We start from the raw sequence: 19,381 nt of genomic DNA, 5'->3' as shown, positions 1-19,381 counted from the left end.
GGTGACTCTTGGTGGATCCCTGCCTAGCTTTAGGCTAAGGACTGGTTACCAGAGGAACCAACCATGTTATTAGAACTCCAGGGAGGGCAGAAGGGTGGAGATTGAGTTAGTCACCAATGGTCAGTGATTTAACTAATTATGCATATGTAATGAAACCTTCATTAAAAAAACCTAAACAAGGAGGTTCAAAGACCTTGGTTGGTGAATACATCCACATGCCAGAAGGGTGGTGCAGCCAAACTCCACAGGGATAGGAACTCCTGTGCTCAGGACCCTTCTGGACCTCGTCCCAGGTACCTCTTCAACTGGCTACTTATTTGTATCCATTAAGAATAAATTGGTAAGAGTAAATAAAGCATTCCCCTAAATTCTGTGATACATTCTAGACAATCATCAAGCTTGAGGGTGGGGTTGTGGGAACTGCACAACTTTATAGCTGATCAGTCAAGAGTACATAAAGATCAGCACTAGTGATTGATGTCTGAAGTGGGTGCAGTCTCGTGGGACTGAGCTCTGAATCTGTGGAGTCTGTACTAACTCTAGGTAGTTAGTGTCAAAATTGAATTTCATTCTATATCCAGCATTTGGCCTCTGGAGAGTTGGCAAATTGGTTGGTAAAGTGTGAGGAAAAAAACCCACATCTTCAGTGTCAGAAGTGTTATGGTTAACAATGCCATTGAATTGTGTTATACTGCCGAAGAGGTTTTGCATATGTAGTTAAGGTCCCTAATGAATTGACTTTGATTTAAGCAACATAGAGACTATCCTAGATGGGTGTGATGTAACCAGATAACTTCTTTAAAATGACTTCTTAGAAGTCAGAGAGATTAAAAGTCAAATACATTTTCCTGATGTCCTGGAAAAGAAGCAAACTGCTATGCTTTGGAGAGGGCCATGTGGCAGAAAATGATAGGCAGCCTCTAGGAGGTAAATGACCTAGTCCTACAGATTGAAGGAACTAAATTGGGCCCCAAACCACTGAACTGACAGTAAAGTCTGAACTTTAGATGGGATTAGAGCCCTAGTCAACACCTAGATTTCAACCTGCTGAGAAACTGAACAGAGGACCTAGCTAATCTGTGCTTAGATTCTTGACTCATAAAATCTGTGAGTTAATGAATAGGTATTATTTTAAGCCATTAGGTGTGTGAAAAGTTGCTAAGCAGCAATAGAAAACAAATACAAGAGATTATATAAAAGCTATGCTAAGATGAATTTTATATTACATGTACAGATAAAATTATTTCAATACAAATAATATCCCAACCTATTGATTTTAATTGAAGATGAAAATAGAAAAAATATGCTGTATATAATAAGAAAGGGACTATGTTAATTGTGTTTCCTGAAATAATGATCAAGATTCTATTAACCATGGAGATATTTGTATGTAGCAGTTTCAAAAAGAAAAATTGCTTTGTTATGCAATGTCAACATTACAGGATAATTCCTGCTGACTTTCCAGGGTCAAATATATGTTCAGAATTTATTTGCAACTCTTAAAAAGAAGGGCATTTACAAGCATTTATCTATATTGCTATTGCTTTATTGTTTAGGACATCATAGGAAAAATAAAATGGGAGCATTTTGGTTTTGTTTATTATCCTCTTTTCATATGGAAGAGAGAAGTCATCAGAATGTCTGTTTCATATAGGTAAATCTCAGAGGCTTTACTGAAAATCAAAGAACAATAAAACCAGATGGTAGTTTTGCATGAGAAATGTTTATCTTAACTCCACTTCTGAGGTTGTGTAAACATATAGGGACATAAAATAACCTAGGGCAGTACTGAATTATCTCACATCATTTAAATGGTGGCACCCCTAGGAAAAAAGCTGCATATACAATCAACGTCATGATTTGTACCCGTTTATTTAATTTCCTATTCTGGTCAAATTTTTATTTAAATGTCAAAGAAATACAAATCATTAGGAAACATATGTATCATCATTTCAGGATGGCAAAAGTTAACATCCACAAGAGAGAGAACTTCAAGACATTCCTTCAGGGTATCATAGTACAGAAATAATTGAAGGATAGAGGTGAGCATTGGATTGAGTGTGATTTCTAAAACAATGGAGAAGATGTATGCAGACTGGATTTCCAAAATATTCTTATTATAAGAGAATCTAGGACCATAGACATGATGTTTCAGACTGGTACAAATCTCATGCTGGGAATAATTTGAAGAAATACAATGAAAACCTGTTTGTGGATATCCAGCATGCATTTTGTTGAAACAGGTTTTTAAATAAAGCAAATACTTGGCCGGGCGTGGTGGCTCATGCCTGTAATCCCAGCACTTTGGGAGGCCGAGGCAGGCAGATCACGAGGTCAGGAGATTGAGACCATCCTGGCCAACATGGTGAAATCCCATCTCTACTAAAAATACAAAAAATTAGCCGGGCATGGTGGCGCACGCCTGTAGTCTCAGCTACTCAGGATGCTGAGGCAGGGGAATCACTTGAACCCAGGAGGCGGAGGTTGCAGTGAGCTGAGATCATGCCACTGCACTCCAGCCTGGCAACAAAGCAAGACTCAGTCTCAAAATAAATAAATAAATAAAAATAAGAAAATAAAGCAAATACTGTATAACCCAGTTTCAGTGAGGGAAAGGGCACCAGCTGCAGAAAGGAGTTAAGTTCTAGATAAATTTGGACTATCCCAGCAAACATAGAAAAGTGAAGTTATTATTATTATTATTTGAGATCAATCTTGGTCTTGTTGCCCAGGCTGGAGTGCAGTGGCGCAATCTCGGCTCACTGCAAACTCCCCCTCCTGAGTTCAAGCGATTCTTCTTCCTCAGTCTCCTGAAGAGCTGGGATTACAGGCGCTCGCCACCATGCCAAGCTAATTTTTTTGGGTGTTTTTAGTAGAGATGGGGTTTCACCATGTTGGCCAGGCTGGTCTGAAACTCCTGACCTCAGGTGATCCGCCCACCTCGGCATCCCAAAGTGCTGGGATTACAGGTGTGAGCCACTGCGCCCAGCTGAATAGTGAAGTTTTATATAGTAGTGAAATTTCTGGCCACAAAGCCATTTGTTAAAACAAACAATAAATAAAGTATTAGGAAAAATATTCTAGCTATCTAGGAAAATAATAGTAAAAAATTAAGTTTTTTTCTAGGAATGCATAGATATTTCCAAATTATAATTCCTCAAGATTATTTATTTCACCAATGGGCAAGATTATAATTAGTAAAACTAGGATAGCTACCCAACAGTTTTGCAGCACCTAGTTTAAGTCAGCACCTCTAAAATAAAGCAGAAACTGCAGAGAGAGAAATCTGGCCACATCTCCAATGCTCTGAATCCTTGCTTCAGTTCAGTAAGTGTGGCATATAAATAAAAATATATACGCAAAACTTATTTGGGATGCTTATGTAGAAAATGCCAAGCTTTGGTGAAATTTTAGCAATTTTCTTACAAAGGCAAATACATAATATCTGATTATGGTGTCTTTAAAAATACATTTTATGAAAAATCTTGATCTGTACTATCCTAGTCTTTCTGACAAATCTCTTTAACTTGTCCTCCCAGGGAATAGTTGGCACCTCCCCCAGCTCTCACCAGAAGGCCCCTAGGTCCTTGGGCGACATGGTATGCATATATCCTCTTCAGTTTAACACTACATGGTTGCGAAATTCTGGACACTGTCAAGAAAGGAAAGGGAGTGGGGAAGGGATTAATGCCAGATGGGCAATTAACAAATGCCCACTAAAATAATTAAATTTAGAAAGCCTATTGTAATAACACAATATTTATGTTGAAAAAATACACAAAATTTTCAACTCAAGAATTTAAAAAATGAATAACATACTAAACCAACCAATGAAAACTAATGACAAGAAAAAAATACAGTTGAGATCTAATTTAGATGATCGTTTTAATGATAACAGTACAATACCAAAATTGGCTAGAATCTAATTATGGAAATAACCAGAGGTATTAAGTTAATTATCAAACAATCATAAATAAAAAGAGACAGCCAATATAGTTCTGCAGGAGGATCATTAAACTCCTCAAATAATAGATGATTTAAAAATTGTATTTCCCTTTGATGGAGAAAACATATTTATTGATGCAAAATCCAACAACAGAACCAAAACCCCAAATCTAGTGTCACAATACCAAAAATTTATTCACACTTGGTACATAAGCACTCTTACCCCTGGGTATTCGAATAGGATGGTGGTGGCTTGGAGTTCTAAGTTTTATTTACAGTATGGGAAGTTTAGATCCATCAGGGAGTATAATCTGTCTCTCGCTGTAAACAGTCACTTTTGGACAAAATGCTGTCTTTTCATGTTCCACTCTCCTTCTCTTCCTCTCCAACTCTCCCCTCCAAGGCTTGGACTAGGTGTTTAGAGAGGGCCTATGACCTCAGATTAGCAGAGAAAGCCTTAGGTGTTTGTATGAACATGTTGTCCTCCGTAGGCTTGCTAGACTTTCTCCAGGGTGCCTGGTCTAGTTTCCTCCTGGATTGGTAGCTTTTGAAGTGAGACATAAAAGCGTCTGGCTTTTTGAGGTTATGATGCTCCAGTCAGCTGTGGCTGAAGTCTTTGATCCTGGCCATTTTTCGCATGATTCAAAGTCCCCACAGCTCACATGCCTTTATTTTTAACCCCAGGCCTCTGCTGGTGCAAAAACTTTCTTAACACATCTGTGTTTCCTTACTGGACACATGGACACTTCTGGGTCCCTTTCTCCCAACTTCCAGCACACAGAGATCAGAATGACTTCCAGCTCACCTGTGTAGCTGCTTTTTGCCTATTTTACTGCACTATTACCCTGCAATTTTGGGAGAAGTGGCAGTCTGTGGAGCATCTCCTAAAGGCCTGAAAGTGGGCCAATACCCCTCAATCCCTCAGGTTCCCCATATAGCTAATTCTTTCTACTCCTGTATCTATGAGTTCATCCTCTGGAGGCATTAATTCCTGCACGTTTGACTTAGAGCTGCCTATGTCTCCTGTCTCTTCCCATAATCCATGGGACCAAAAGTCTTTGACTTTTGCCAAATCCTTTGAGTCTGGTTGGGATCCCCCCCACCGCCTCCAATAATATTCTGTATTTATGTTAGCCAGGGCTACCTCTTTTTATGATAAAGGTCAGAATAATGAAATTCAGAAAAGCTTTTTCTCTGAACAGCTCTCTACTAAAGAGGTCATGAAAGTCAGCTTTAAGACTCAAAGCTGGCTGAGGCAGGAGAATGGCGTGAACCCGGGAGGCGGAGCTTGCAGTGAGCCGAGATCGCGCCACTGCACTCCAGCCTGGGCGACAGAGCGAGACTCCGTCTCAAAAAAAAAAAAAAAAAAAAAAAAAAAAAGACTCAAAGCTGATCAATGACCTCTTTATTCTAGGAAATAAGTAAAGATTGCAGAACGTATAGATTTTCTGTGAAGATTAAATGACATAAAGCAGGCCAAGTCCATAGCACAATGCTTACCATAGAGTGATCACTCACTGCATGTTGGCTGTTATGATTGTTGTGGTTATTCCCCTGTCATCAAAGGAGAGATTCCCAGTCATTTCTTAAACGTCAATTTTTCTGTTCAAAGAATGCTTTTGAATATTGTTCTGGATATGAGGTTTCTCAGCACGGCCTTACTCAGTCTTCTCAGACAGACCTTCCCTTTTCCTCCTCTCTATAACTTACCCAGAATTCCAATGAATTCCCCCGCATATTCCCTTTGCATACTCCTCCTGCCTACCCCATCTCCTTACCCTCCCTGGATATCATTCTCCTGGTATATTTCTCTGCATATTCTTCCTAGTTTTCAGCTCTCTCCTAACCTGAATATTTAGAAGTAATTAAATCCCTCTGTCTTATTTTGCATGATTCTTGTCTTTCACACATTTGTAACTTCATCTGTAAGAGCTAAACCTTTCTCTTATAAACGTTTCTAATTGTTTAATTCTTATTGTGTTCCTAATAGGCTTTCAGTCACCTTTAAAGCTAAAATATTTTTCTTTTAGCTTAAAATACCTCACGGTCCTGCCATCTGCTTTGTCTGCGGTTTCTGTTAGCAATATGATTTCCATTCCCAAATGATTCTGGATGATACTATTTTTTGCCTTTGCATTTGAAACTATTCTTCTTAGACATGGCAGAAACTGGGAGGTACGTGAGTACTCCAAACTCAAGCTCCACAGGTCATTATTTAGTCCTTTCTTTTGCATTTTAGACAATCCCAATCTGCTGCCTTTCAGAAGCCAGTGTTTACTAAAGACATAAAGTATGAAAAATAAGAACAAGATTTTCCTCAAAGAGATTAGACAATTCAAATTAATCTATAGTACATCATTTACAACACCTTTTTAAAAATAGTGAAACAAACCGCATTATTGTGGATTCAAAAAATGGATCTGAAGATTTTAAGGCAAAATATAAAAAGCTATTAATTGTTTTTCCTTCCCCTTGTGTGAATTTGGGCCTTACTTTAAGATGGCTCAGAGATTTATATTCTCTCACCTGCCCCATTAATTAAAGTGTGAGGTGTACTTAGTTGAGACTTTTTATGAATCAGTGGCTTTAAGAATATTAAAAACATAGGAATTCAGAGGTCTGACACTAGATTTGCCTACCATAAATTGAAAAGTGGCTTGATATTTACTAGATTGAGAAGAAATTCCATAGTGAAAATTAAAACTGTATTCCCTTTTATCTACTAGTTATTTGACATTATTTCTTTAAGTAGAATATTTTTTGAAAGAACAAATATTGTAAAATGGGTTTTATGTAATTCTTTTGAATCCTAACTACTAACTTGAGGATATTGCCATTTACTTCTGGGAGAATATTTTGCCTGTGGTTAGCTATAGTCACCTTGTTGTTGTTGTTGTTGTTTCATTATGTAGACATGATTGATTAAATAACTGGCCACATAATCGAATATAATTTCCAACCCCTTGTTTTCCTAGGATGCCTGGCAGATGAAAGTCTAACCCTTAAGTCATATGTTCCATCTTTCAAATGACCATCTTCCATCTTGAAATTATGTAAGAGTCTACCAAAACTCATCTATTAGTATAACAAAGACACTTTTTTTTTTTTGAGCTGGAGTCTCACTTTGTCATCGAGGCTAGATTGCAGTGGTGCAATCTTGGCTCACTGCAACCTCCATCTTCCGGGTTCAAGTGATTCTCCTGCCTCAGCCTCCAGAGTAGCTGAGATTACAGGCACAAGATTATGGATTATAACACCAAAAAAATATTGTCCCTATGTATTAGGTATCATGTAGTTTTTAGGATTTTTGAAACTATACATGGCTTCCTTGGAATTTGAAAGGATGAGTAAAATTTCTAGGTGATAATATTGAAGATCTTTCTTACTGGTCTTTTATTGGTTACCGTGGTGACCTTGCAGCAGGACTACAAACGGAGAGGAATGGGCCAAATTTCCTATCCATTGTTTTTAAAGAAAGCAAGTCCGGCAACATCTGACTTTCATGTCATGTTTGTTGTATGATCAATAGAATCATACTAAATTCTGAGGCTCAGTTACCTTCAGTGTTCTTTGATCAAATCTATCACCCTAAGGCTAATGAGTTTCAAGGCTGGGGGTGGAAAATGGATCAAGTTCCTGTTCATAATTTACTATAATATGGCAGGCTTGGGCAAAAAAATTATCAGAATATAATTCAACTGAGAAAAAAGTAAACTTGTTGATGTTAGTGACATGACAGGTAGCTGTGGCCATGATTTGAAAGAATGTATGTGATTTGAAAGAATGTATGTGTGAAAGAATATATGGGGTATCAGGTCCTAGGGAATTTGGAAATTATTTTACTGGAAAGCAAATGACTTTAGCTGATAAAGTTTGTGGTGGCAAAGCAGAAACGATGAGGGTTGGATTAAGAAGAAGTCAATAGACTTCTAAATCACTTCGTTAACACTATTTTTTATGTTCTCATTGCATATGTGAAGTAACTGACTCTCTTGGCCCTGATAGGGGTGAGGAAATGGGAAGGTGAGGTATGTTATATAATACATATACATATATTTTTTGGTCCCTGATTCCTGGTACACAGCTTCAAAAATGCTTAGGATTTTCTGACTAAAAAGAATGTCTTTAGGCTGGATGCAGTGGCTCACACCTGTAATCCCAGCACTTTGGGAGGCCAAGGCAGACAGATCACCTGAGGTCAGGAATTTGAGACCAGCCTGGCCAACATGGTGAAACCCTTTCTCTACTAAAAATACAAAAATTAGCCAGACATGGTCATGGCGAGTGCCTGTAATCCCAGCTACTCTGGAGGCTGAGGCAGGGGAATCACTTGAACCCGGAAGATGGAGGTTGCAGTGAGCTGAGATTGCGCCACTGCACTCTAGCCTCAAAGACAAAGTGAGACTCCAGTTCAAAAAAAAAAAGTGTCTTTGTTATACTAATAGATGAGTTTTGGTAGACTCTTACATAATTTCAAGATGGAAGATGGTCATTTGAAAGATGAAACATATGACTTAAGGGTTAGACTTTCATCTGCCAAGCATCCTAGGAAAACAAGGGGTTGGAAATTATATTCGATTATGTGGCCAGTTATTTAATCAGTCATGTCTACATAATGAAACAACAACAACAACAACAACAAATCTTTGGACACTGAGGCCCAGTAGAGTGTCCTAGTTGGTGAACACATTCATCTGGTTGAGAAATACCGATATGCAAGTAGAGTATGCCCTGACTCCACAGGGAAATGGCACAGATGCTTTCTGTTTGTTAGCCTCCCAGAGCTCACCTTATTATCCTTTATGATAAATCTGTAATCTTAAATATAATACTTTCAGTGAGTTCTGTGCATTGTTCTAGCAAATTATTGAACATGCAGGGACTATTGGAATATCTGTATTTTTAGCCAGCCAGACAAACACTAGCACTGGATGGTTAGCATCAAAATTGTATTTCAGTATCCTCATTTGGTGTTACACCAATGAAGGTGGAAACAGAATAGAAGGGGAAGAATCCTGGTTTTCTGATAAGTGTCTTCTGATTAAGGATGCATAGAGATAATGTCTTTGAATATAAATAGATATTTTTCTGCTTTATTTTCTGGCAAAGTCACTTCCCATTATAGTTAAGAGGAACTTTTCAGAAGTACTTTTCAATATAAGGTGAGAGCAACTTGGTAAATGGGTTTTTCTGAAAGCTGATGCATAACAGCTGCAGTAAGGAGGGCTGTGTAGTGAGGTGAAATTTGAAAACAATCACTTGAGAGTAAAAATAAAGCTTGAAAGATTAAACAAGACTTTTATTCTGATATCCATAGGATCCCACTGAATGACTTTGAGTAAGATAGCAACATTTTTAAAGGATCACTTTAGCTTCTGTGTTGAGAATAGGAAAAGCATAGGAATGGCAAGTGCAAACACAGGTGACCAGTAAAGATGCTATTGCAATAATTTGTGTAAGTGATGATTATAACAATGAGACAGCAGTTGCTAAAGTAAAGGGAAGGGTCAAAAGTAGTATATAAAGTTTTAAATGAAATTACTCATGTAACCAAAAGCAATTTTAAACTTTCTAAATTACCAGGAGTAAAATACACACATACATACACACATATGCACAAATGAATTACTACCTATCTGTAAGTAAATGCAGTCTCATCCCAGATATTGAAAGATAAAGAACATTGTGTGTGTGTGTGTGTATATGTATATACACGTATATATGTATGTGTGTATGTGTATATACACGTATATATATGTATGTGTGTATATGTATATACACGTATATATATGTATATGTGTATATATATATGTGTGTATATATATATATACACACACACATATACCACATTTTCCTTGTCTATTAATATCTGTTGAACATTTAGGTTATTCCGTTGTCTGCATATATTGGCTATTGTGAATAATGTTGCAATAAAAATGGGAGTGAAGATATTGCTGTAGAAGTCATAATTTTGATTATTTTGTATGTGCTGGATTATCTGATAGCTTATTTTTAACTTTTGGAGGAACTCCATACTGGTTTCCATAAGTCCTGCACCGTTTTACATTTCTACCAAAAGTATACAAAGTGTTCCAATTTCTTCACATTCTCACTGAGATTTCTTTTTTAAAAAAATTTCTCTTTTTAAAAAATACAGCAATCCTAAGACACATAAAGTGACAATTTAATTATAGTTTACTGAAGATTACTAATACTAAGCTTCTTTGCATATACCTATTGTTCGTTTGTATGTCTTGTTTGGAGGAATGTCTGTTCCATCCTTTGCCCATTTTTAATGAGTTTATTTTAATTTATTCCATTTTATTTTATTTGCTATTATCAGATATACCTCTTGGAAATATTAACTCCATTTCCCTGGGTTTCGGTCACATTCTGTTGATTATTTTCTTTGCTGTGCAGAAGTCTTGCAGTTTGATGTCCTCCCACTTGCTTATTTTTTTCTTCTGCTGCTTGTGCTTTTCACATTAATCCAAAGAAACCATTGCCATAATAAATATCATGAAGCATTCCCCTATGTTTTCCTTTAGGAGTTTTACAGTTTCAGGTCTATACTTAAATCTTTAATTCATTTGAGTTGATTTTTATATATGGTGTAAGTATCTAGTCTCATTCTTTCACATGTGGATATTTATTTTCCTCAGCACCACTCCTTGAAGAAACCATTCTTTCTCCAATGTGTAGCCATCATCCCTTCAGAACTAGAAATCTGTAGCTAATCAAAGTGACCTTTTGACTTCTTCACCACACATGCCTAGTTATTTGCCAATTCCTCTCCATTTTTCCTCCCAAATATTTCCAAACCTGAAATCATACTCTGTTAACTAGCTCCTGCTTTATTAGGGGCTACTACTAATTCTTACTTGAGTAACAAAAATAAATTTTTTTTTTAAACAAGGATTCCCCCATTCCCCCTGTCTCTTCTCCAGTCTATTTTTTATTCTGGACCAGTTATATTTCTAGAAATATTATTATACCATTCTTCTGCTAAAAATCTATAATTGCCTCTCCATTGTTTATAGGAAACCATTCAAACGTCTTCATGTGGCTTTCAAGGTCATTCTGCTTTATGCTGACTTTTCCAAATTCATCTCTAGCTACTCATTCCCACTCACATTTTAAACTGTAGCTGTCCTTCCTGTTTATTTCTGGAAAGGGCCATTGTTTTATCTTTGCCATCAGTTTTCTGTCTTAGTACATTTCCTATTGCTTATAACAGAATACGTGTGACTGAGTAATTTACAAAGAAAAAGATTTATTTCTTACAGTGATGGAGGTTGAGAAGTCCAAGGCTGAGTGTACGCATCTGGTGAGAGTCTTCTTGCTAGTGGAGACCCTCGGCAGAATCCAAGGCAGTGCAGATCATCACATGGAGAGGGGGCTGATTGTGCTACCCCAGGACTGTTTCTTTTTATAAAACCACCAGTCCCACTCCCACGGTAACCCAATAATCCACCTCTCAATATTGCCACATTGGGGATTAAATTTCAACATGATTTTGGGAGGTGACAAATATTCAAACCATAGCACTGTCCTTCCACTGCTTCCTCTCATCCTTGATTCCTTCCTTCCTTCTTCCTTTCTGTAATGTACCAAATATGAACTGTTCTCCTTTACATGATGTATTTTCTTTACCCCCTTCACTCCTGACTCCTCTACTCCTTTCTTATATCTTGCAGCTATCAATTTGTCCATTCCTCAGGAAAACCTTCCTTTAACCTTCAAATCTGGTATCCTAACAATATATCCTACTTGTCTCATTATACCATATTTTTAACACATATACATTATTCTTAAAATACATATTTGAACAAATATGTTTCTCATAAATTTATTCTCTATATTTTACATATATATTTGTCTCTACAAATCTCTCATTTTCACAAATAAAAAAGTTCAATTAATTACTCAAAATAGGAATAATATAAACTATTTTCTCTCAAAAACACTAGATGCTGAGAGAGAGAGAGAGAGAGACAGAGAGACAGAGAGAGAGAGGAGAGACAGAGAGAACTGAAAATTAAATATGTTTTTCATAAGCAACTATTGAATAAAAGAAAAAAGATAAAAGTTGAGATTGCAAAATAGGACATAATGATAGTGACTAAAATGATCCTGAAAAAAATTCATAGACTTAAATGCTCAAATAAATAAATGCATAATGATCAATCCTTGAAAACATCTTAATTCTCAGTCTTTACAATCAGCTCTGGCAATCAGATAAAATATTTAGAGAAGAATTTTTGGCAACTCCTAAATATGGTATCTGCTTATATTTCCTTTAATTATTATTCTATATTGTGTATGAGGTTTCTATTTGGTGTGCTCCATGTTTTATGGCTTTCTATTCTATCTTTTCTTCTCTTTATCACCTTTTCTTGCAGATGTTAGGAGGGCAGGGTGTGTGTAAGTTTCCAGGACACTTAGCTCGGAAACTGAACCACAGAATTCTTTTTTGTTTGTTTGTTTGTTTTTTTGAGATGGAGTCTCGCTCTGTCACCCAGGCTGGCGTGCAGTGGCACGAACTCGGCTCACTGCAAGCTCTGCCTCCCGGTGAACCACAGAATTCTTAAGCCCAGCATAGATGAATGAGATGACTAGAGCTGGCTAATAGGCTAGGTTTTTTTTGTGATGTTCACATGGAAATAAAAGACAGAAAGGGAGGGGCTTTTGTAAAAAAAAAAAAAAGGTCGATTTAGGGAATTATTCATTCATTAGGATATACAGATTTAAAATACAGGGTCCTAATATGAGTCACAAGAAGCCCTAGTGTGTAAAAATTTCATAAACTCCACTGGAAAAGAAATTTTGAATCCCCTGAATTCAGCTAGTTATAATAGCTATATTGATGAATAATGGCCATCCTGTCTTTCTCTTTTTTTCCCCTAGCGCTCCTTTTAAGAAATCTTTGTGGGGAACTTGAAATATGTTTGTTTGAGACAGACTACTGGCCTCTTTCTGTGTGACAATGGACGGGGAAAGGCGAAGATTCCAATTTTTTTTTTTCTATTTAGCAAGTAATAGGTAATTAATGATTTTTGACATATGATAGTGAGCATTAAGATATATGTCGATGGCCCCCTTGAATTATAAAGGATTAAGACAAGGTCACATAAAAGATACAATCATAAGCCTCTCACTTTGTCTCACTTCTTATAAGGGTGAGTTGAAACATGTTTTTAATATTGGAGCCATAACATCTTTGAGCAAATGGCTTTCTCGGTATCATGCATTAACTGGGTCATTGACTGACTCATAACGTATGAAAAATGCTAACCGATCAATACAATCCCCTCCATGTCTATAGCCAATTGAGGTTTCTGTTATTTCATGACATCCTGTACACCAACCCGCTGCAACAAGACTGCAAATAGAATATGTTGCCTTCTGGTTCCAATCTCAGTATTCTTTGGCAGATATTTATTTCCAATTATATTAAACATCATTTTGTGAGTAGAGGTGCATACATTAAAATGATATTTGGTACATATTTCTGACTATACTTTGTCATCATTGACCAAAAGCAGGTGAAAGAGAGTTAAGAACAAAAAAATAACTGCTTGCCTACAAATAGGCCAATATGTAACCTCCCCACTAAACTCTTCATCAAGTAATGTGGCACAGATTTGTTTTTGAACATTCATTAATATTAGATGCTATAGGAGACCAAAGGGAATAAGGACGCACATTTAGGTTATTTACATAATATTTGGGTAGCTAGATGTTTTATATTTTGCTGGAGACTTTTTGTATAAACAAATATGTAAACTTTTATCTGTCTACTTATTTCTGGATTTTTTGTTCCGATCAGAAAAATCAGTTTGACCAAATATTATATAAATAATCCACATATTTAAACAAGAAAAATTTGCTTTACTTGAAAGGAAAACACTGCTAACTTCCTACATAAAATTCTCCTAAAAATCAGTGAGAGAAAGGCTAACATTCAAGAAGTAAGAACATAGCATCATCAGATATATTTTTCAAGATATAATATCAATATATGCCCTTCAATTTTAATACAATATTGAATATGTGCAAAATTATCCATCAACCAGGGATGGTTAAATGAGTATGGGACATCTAAAAATGCAACTTTGTGGAGATAATAAATGGATGGTGAAGATTGTTCACTCTCTCACTGTCTTGCTTTTTAATGTTCACCAAAATAAGTCATATTCTCATGGTTGGCTTCAGAATATTTATTTTTAAATTATTTTTTCTTTTTACTTTTGAAAGATATTTTTCTTATGAAGTTAATTTTAACAATCCAAATATTTGAAATTAACTCTATCAATCTGATTGTTTAATCTTCCAGTTTTTCTATATATGCTTTTTCATACCTTATTGGAGTTAAATAAAAAGTATTATAACATTTATATTCCATGTCCTAATTTGTGTTTGTGGATATTTGATATTTCTACTTGCCCTACTTTTGTTTATATAACTTAAGGTTCCAATCATTACTTTCATATGGGCCATTGAATTTCAAAATAATTTCATAAATTGATTTGCTAAAATTGATGAAGCCTCTCAGGAATATAAAAGCGTTTTTAATGGACTTCATGTTAGAGCAAATGCTACTATTAAACCTGAAATGTTAAATTGTTTACAAAAAACAGCTCATTGAACCCCCTCTTCCAAACTGTCTTTTTTGCCTCATAAAATTTACCAGAATCCAATGACAATGTGTATACATTTTTTTTGTTGTGTTGTTATAGTTAACATGTAAAGACACATAATCGGTTATATATTTAAATGTCAAATTTTCAAATCATACCAGTCACTATCTTTTATCTCACTCTCTAAGTCAGGAGTTTTCAATTTATTCATACTTTAGTCAATGTTTATGACTTTCTGTGTATGATTATAAATGATTTTTTTTTCCAGAAGGTAGACAAATTTTGCAATGATTACTTTCTGGCAATCAGAATCCTGAATTTCATTTTCTGCCAAGGATTGTTACAACTACACACGAACTACAACTAGAAGCTGAGTTGCATCATGCATACCTATTGTGAGAAAGCTGTCATTTTGAACATTTGCAGCTATTTGGAAGCTTTTATTTTCCAAAAATATGTACTTTTATAGCTTCATTCTAGCTATTAATTTTCTAAGTTTTTGCTTTGTCCATTGTTGTTATTATTGGGAATAACATTTTTTCTTGGGTGGGAATTTATTTTATGTGAGTTTGATTTATATATTCTTTGAAGATTCAAATCTTTGGGTTGATAGCCCATAATTTGTTTATTAAGAGACAATGGATATTTACAGAAATAAAATGATCAATTGCCATGGAGATGAGCATATCACCATAGCAACTTACATCATGTATGTGTGTATGAAAAATTCTGAGGGGTGGGTCAGGAAGATAGTGTGTTTGTGTGTGTTTTTTGAATTCGCAAAGGCTGAAGAAGTCATTTATCTTCTTCTAATTAGAGACTATCTTAGCAATTTGTTGAAGAAATAGATTAACAGTCACCTTGTCAGTTTGAGTGTTTTGCTCTGTGTTTAAAACATACTCATTCTATAGATTAGTTCTTCTCTTGCTGATCCACTGATAATATCCTGATATTTTGGAGTTCATAAATAGCATTTCCAATTATTTGTACAGTGGGTCAGCTTAATTAATAATAATAATAAAACACTGCAGGGCATTCCGAACACCGTAGGACACAAAGAGAATATGATAGATAGAGAATAGACAATTAAATTTCTGAGATAAAATGGAGACAGGGACAGTGACACAGGTAGATACCAACAAAAAAATTAAATTTCTCATCCTAGTTAAATTTTACGTTTTAACGATCCCAAACTTAGAATTATATTGAGAAATACAAAAGTGGTGTAGATTATGTTCACAATTAATAAGCCCCCTTTCCTTCCACTTGCCTGTAAGAATATTGATTATACATCTTTGCATGCTGCCATGTGACTTCAATGCACAGAAATATACCCCCCATTACTTTGACTTTGGGCTAGGTTTGTAACCTGCTTTGACCATTGGAATGTGAGTGGAGTTCACCAATGCTATGTGGGAGCAGAAGCTTTAAGAGACATTGTGGTGCTCTGCCAGCCCTTTACCTCTCTTTTTCTTTGCACAAAAATGATGTCTCAATCCTCTCAGCCTGAGTCCTGGAATAGAGGATATGTGGAGCACAGTCCTTGCAATTCTCAACCACCATTATGTACTCTGGAATAATACATATTACATAAGCTACTTTGTTTTGCTTATGATTGCATATTTAGCAGATATACTAAAGTGACTGACTAATTTATGTTGTTCAGTCATTTCTCATCTCTCCTCCCTCCGCCATTCTTTACGTCCTTTCGGTAGAGCTGACTCCACCCCAGCACTGTGGCTTATGCTGGATCGACCAGAGTGTTGCTTTCTTCATATGGTCTATTGAGACAATAAAACCTCAGCCGAAATTGTTGGAAGAGACCCATCACATCCCTCATTGCTACCTGGGGACAGAGAGTGGAATAAAAGTTGGTCCTGCTGCAGCAACTTGCATCAATGAAGAGAGAGTCAAACTAAGAAGAGCTGTTAAATCAAGTAGTATCTGAAGCCATTAACCTTCAATTATGGGAAATAAATATTTTCTATTCTTGCAACCTATCCAGTTGGGTGTTTTGGTCACTTTGCTCTAGAGAATAAACAATTATATTTTCCCAAATTTCTATTATGTATCTAAGAATTTGGTTATATTAATGCTGCAGATTGGCACATAATGATCAATGACTCAATCTTTATGTGGAGTTTGGTTTTAATGAAATGTATCTATTGTCATTTTATTTTTCTAGAGTTCTATTTTGTCTTATGTAATCATCGTTGTACACATTGGCTACATTTTATTATGTGTTGCCTCATTTTTATGTTTTTGTCTTTTTTTCTGTCTTTTCATCTTAAGTGTTTCAAGAAAACAACAAATATATGGGTGTTGTTTTTGAGCTAAATATAATATTTATCTTAAGTACTTTTATATTTCTTATTTTTAAAAATTTTTATTTTCGATTCAGTGGGTACATGTGCAGGTTTCTTATGCAAGTATATTGTGTGATGCTAAGGTTTGGGCTTCTATTGATCCCATTACCCAGATAATGAACATAGTACTCAATAGAAGTTTTTCAGCCCTTTTTCCGCTCTCCCTTCCTCTTTTTGGAGTCCCCAGTGTCTATCGTTTTCATCTTTATGTCTGTGTGTACCCAGTGTTCAGCTCCCATGTATAAGTGAGGATATGCAGTATTTGGCTTTCCGTTTCTGTGTTACTTCACTTGGGATAATAATCTCCAGCTGCATCCCTGTGACTACAAAGGACATTATTTCATTCTTTTTTATGGCTGCATAGTATTCCATGGTGTGTGTACCACATTCTCTTTATTCAATCCACCATTTATGGGCACCTAAATTGATTCCATATCTTTGCTTTAAATACTTTTAAAGTGATTGTGTATTTTGAAGTTTTATTTTTCCTTTGTGTAGGTTTTAACTGTTCTCCTTTGCTGTTTTTTAAATTATAATAGATCTATTATTCTTTTCATATTTTTTTTTGCCCTATGTGTAACTTAAATCATCTAGTTTGATTTTTTTGGTTAATTCTCTTAGGTTATTATATTTTAAAATTATATTAGACCACACTATACACAATGTTCTCCATGATGCTTTTTTAACATAAGAAAATAAGATGATTGCCCTTTTATATTGATCACTTCAGTGTAATACCCACATACTTACTTTAATTGCTTCCTAGTAAGCTTTAGTTTGTCATTTTTTTAAGAAAATCTCCTCATTTCACTGATTTATTTTTAAATGCAATATTGAAATGAATATTTTTGTGCATGGAGATTTTTGTGAAGCAACCTAAGTATTTCTTTAATGGAAATCACTGTAACTTTATATTATAGGTCAAACAGTATAAGTTTTTTTAAAGCCTTTGCTACACTTTGCCAACTTACTCTCCAGAATAGTTCCACCAATAAACACTGCCACTGTGAGTGCATGCAAATGCCTTTCTTCTCACACATTCATTCTAACGTTGTCCATCTGATGAGTATAAATTATCTTCATGCTTAAAATATGTTTCCATAGATAGTTCTCAATCAAAATCAAGAATACACAAGTATCTTTTAGTGAGGACTAGGACGGGAAGAATTCAGACTCAAAAGCAGACTGCAAAAAAATCAAACCCTGTCTTATCTGTTTGCCGGTTGCTGACTTATTTTATCTGTATAATGGGAGAAATATAGGATCTATTTTATAGGGTTTGTGCAAAGATTAAATAAGTAGAGTGATTAGCAGACTATCTGTGTATAGGAAATACTACATAAATATTGACTACTGTATTATTATATGTAAGATTAAATGTTCCATATATTTAGATTTTCTTCTTGCTTTTTATTACTTTTCTTTACAAAATTGTAGAACTTTATACTTACATGTTGTTCTGTACTTTCCTTCCTTGCCTTTCATTTATTACTTTAAAAACTTTCATTAAAATGTCAGCAATGGTTTATGCTTTATAAATTACTTTTAATAGTTTGGTTGTTTATCATAATTTCTTCTCAAGTAGTGCACTTCAGAACTTAAAGATGTAAATTCTTATGCTCTACTCCAGATACATTGAACTAGACATGCTGGAGTGGGGAAGGTACAATCCATGGTTTACAAGCTTTTCAGGTGGTTTTGATGCATACTCAAGTTGAGAGCCACCGCTTTAAACTACTCTGCAGCGAATAAGGGAAGCAAAGGAAAGTGTTATGACTCTAGTCTCTGAAATCAGGTGATATAGTTTGAAAACTGGGTCTATTACTAAGCTATGTGACCTTGAGCAAGTTAATGTTTCTGTCTCAGTTTCTTTCTTTTTGTAAAGTGGAGATAAAAGAGTTATGAAAATTATATGAAATAACATTTTTAAGCAGTTCAAGTAGAACCTACTCCAAGGAAATGCTTCAGTGAATACTAACTAATTTATCTGCCTTTGCATGAGTCCTTGATAGTTCTTTATAACTTAGTCAATAGGACTATTTGGTCAACATACGAGATTTTCTGAATCTGTCATTTATTTTCTTTCCCATGCAACATGAAAATGTTAACAAATGATACAAAAGGGAAAGGTATAGGATCAGTATTTTAGTACATATTCTTATCTTATTCCTGGTTAAAGATAAGTATCTTTAAGTATACCTAACTCATTAACTCAGTAATTTCTTCTTTTTCTCACTCCAACTTCAATCAGAGCAGTTCTTCTTTCATCTATATTGATAGAGATTTTCCACATAAAATTTTATTTAAATAAAGAACTGTGCCCAGAAGAAAAGATAAAAAAATCCAGTAATCTAGTCTAATCCTTACATGTTAACAATGAGGAAACTGGGACCCTTTAAAGTGAAGTTCATATGCAAGGTCACAAGGCAT

The 19,381-nt window shown here is 35.3% G+C and overlaps 1 long non-coding RNA gene across 1 annotated transcript in view, besides 1 other annotated feature; it reads left to right on the top strand.

The window, feature by feature from the left end:
* The window catches only part of LOC124906027 (uncharacterized), a 126,610-nt gene that overhangs the window by 15,192 nt on the left and 92,037 nt on the right, over positions 1-19,381 (top strand). The window lies entirely within an intron of this gene.
* Positions 2,631-2,861: a silencer, noted in NCBI's record as "fragment chr2:78750964-78751194 (GRCh37/hg19 assembly coordinates)". NCBI's record gives its function as "represses an EF-1alpha promoter that drives an FKBP-Casp9 reporter gene in an ReSE screen in K562 erythroleukemia cells {active_cell/tissue: K562}" and the evidence as "EXISTENCE:reporter gene assay evidence [ECO:0000049][PMID:32094911]".

Source organism: Homo sapiens, chromosome 2 (assembly GCF_000001405.40).
Source record: "Homo sapiens chromosome 2, GRCh38.p14 Primary Assembly".
NCBI lineage: Eukaryota > Metazoa > Chordata > Mammalia > Primates > Hominidae > Homo > Homo sapiens.
The sequence above is the reverse complement of the archived record's forward strand: the minus strand, read 5'-3'. Positions and strand labels throughout refer to the sequence as shown.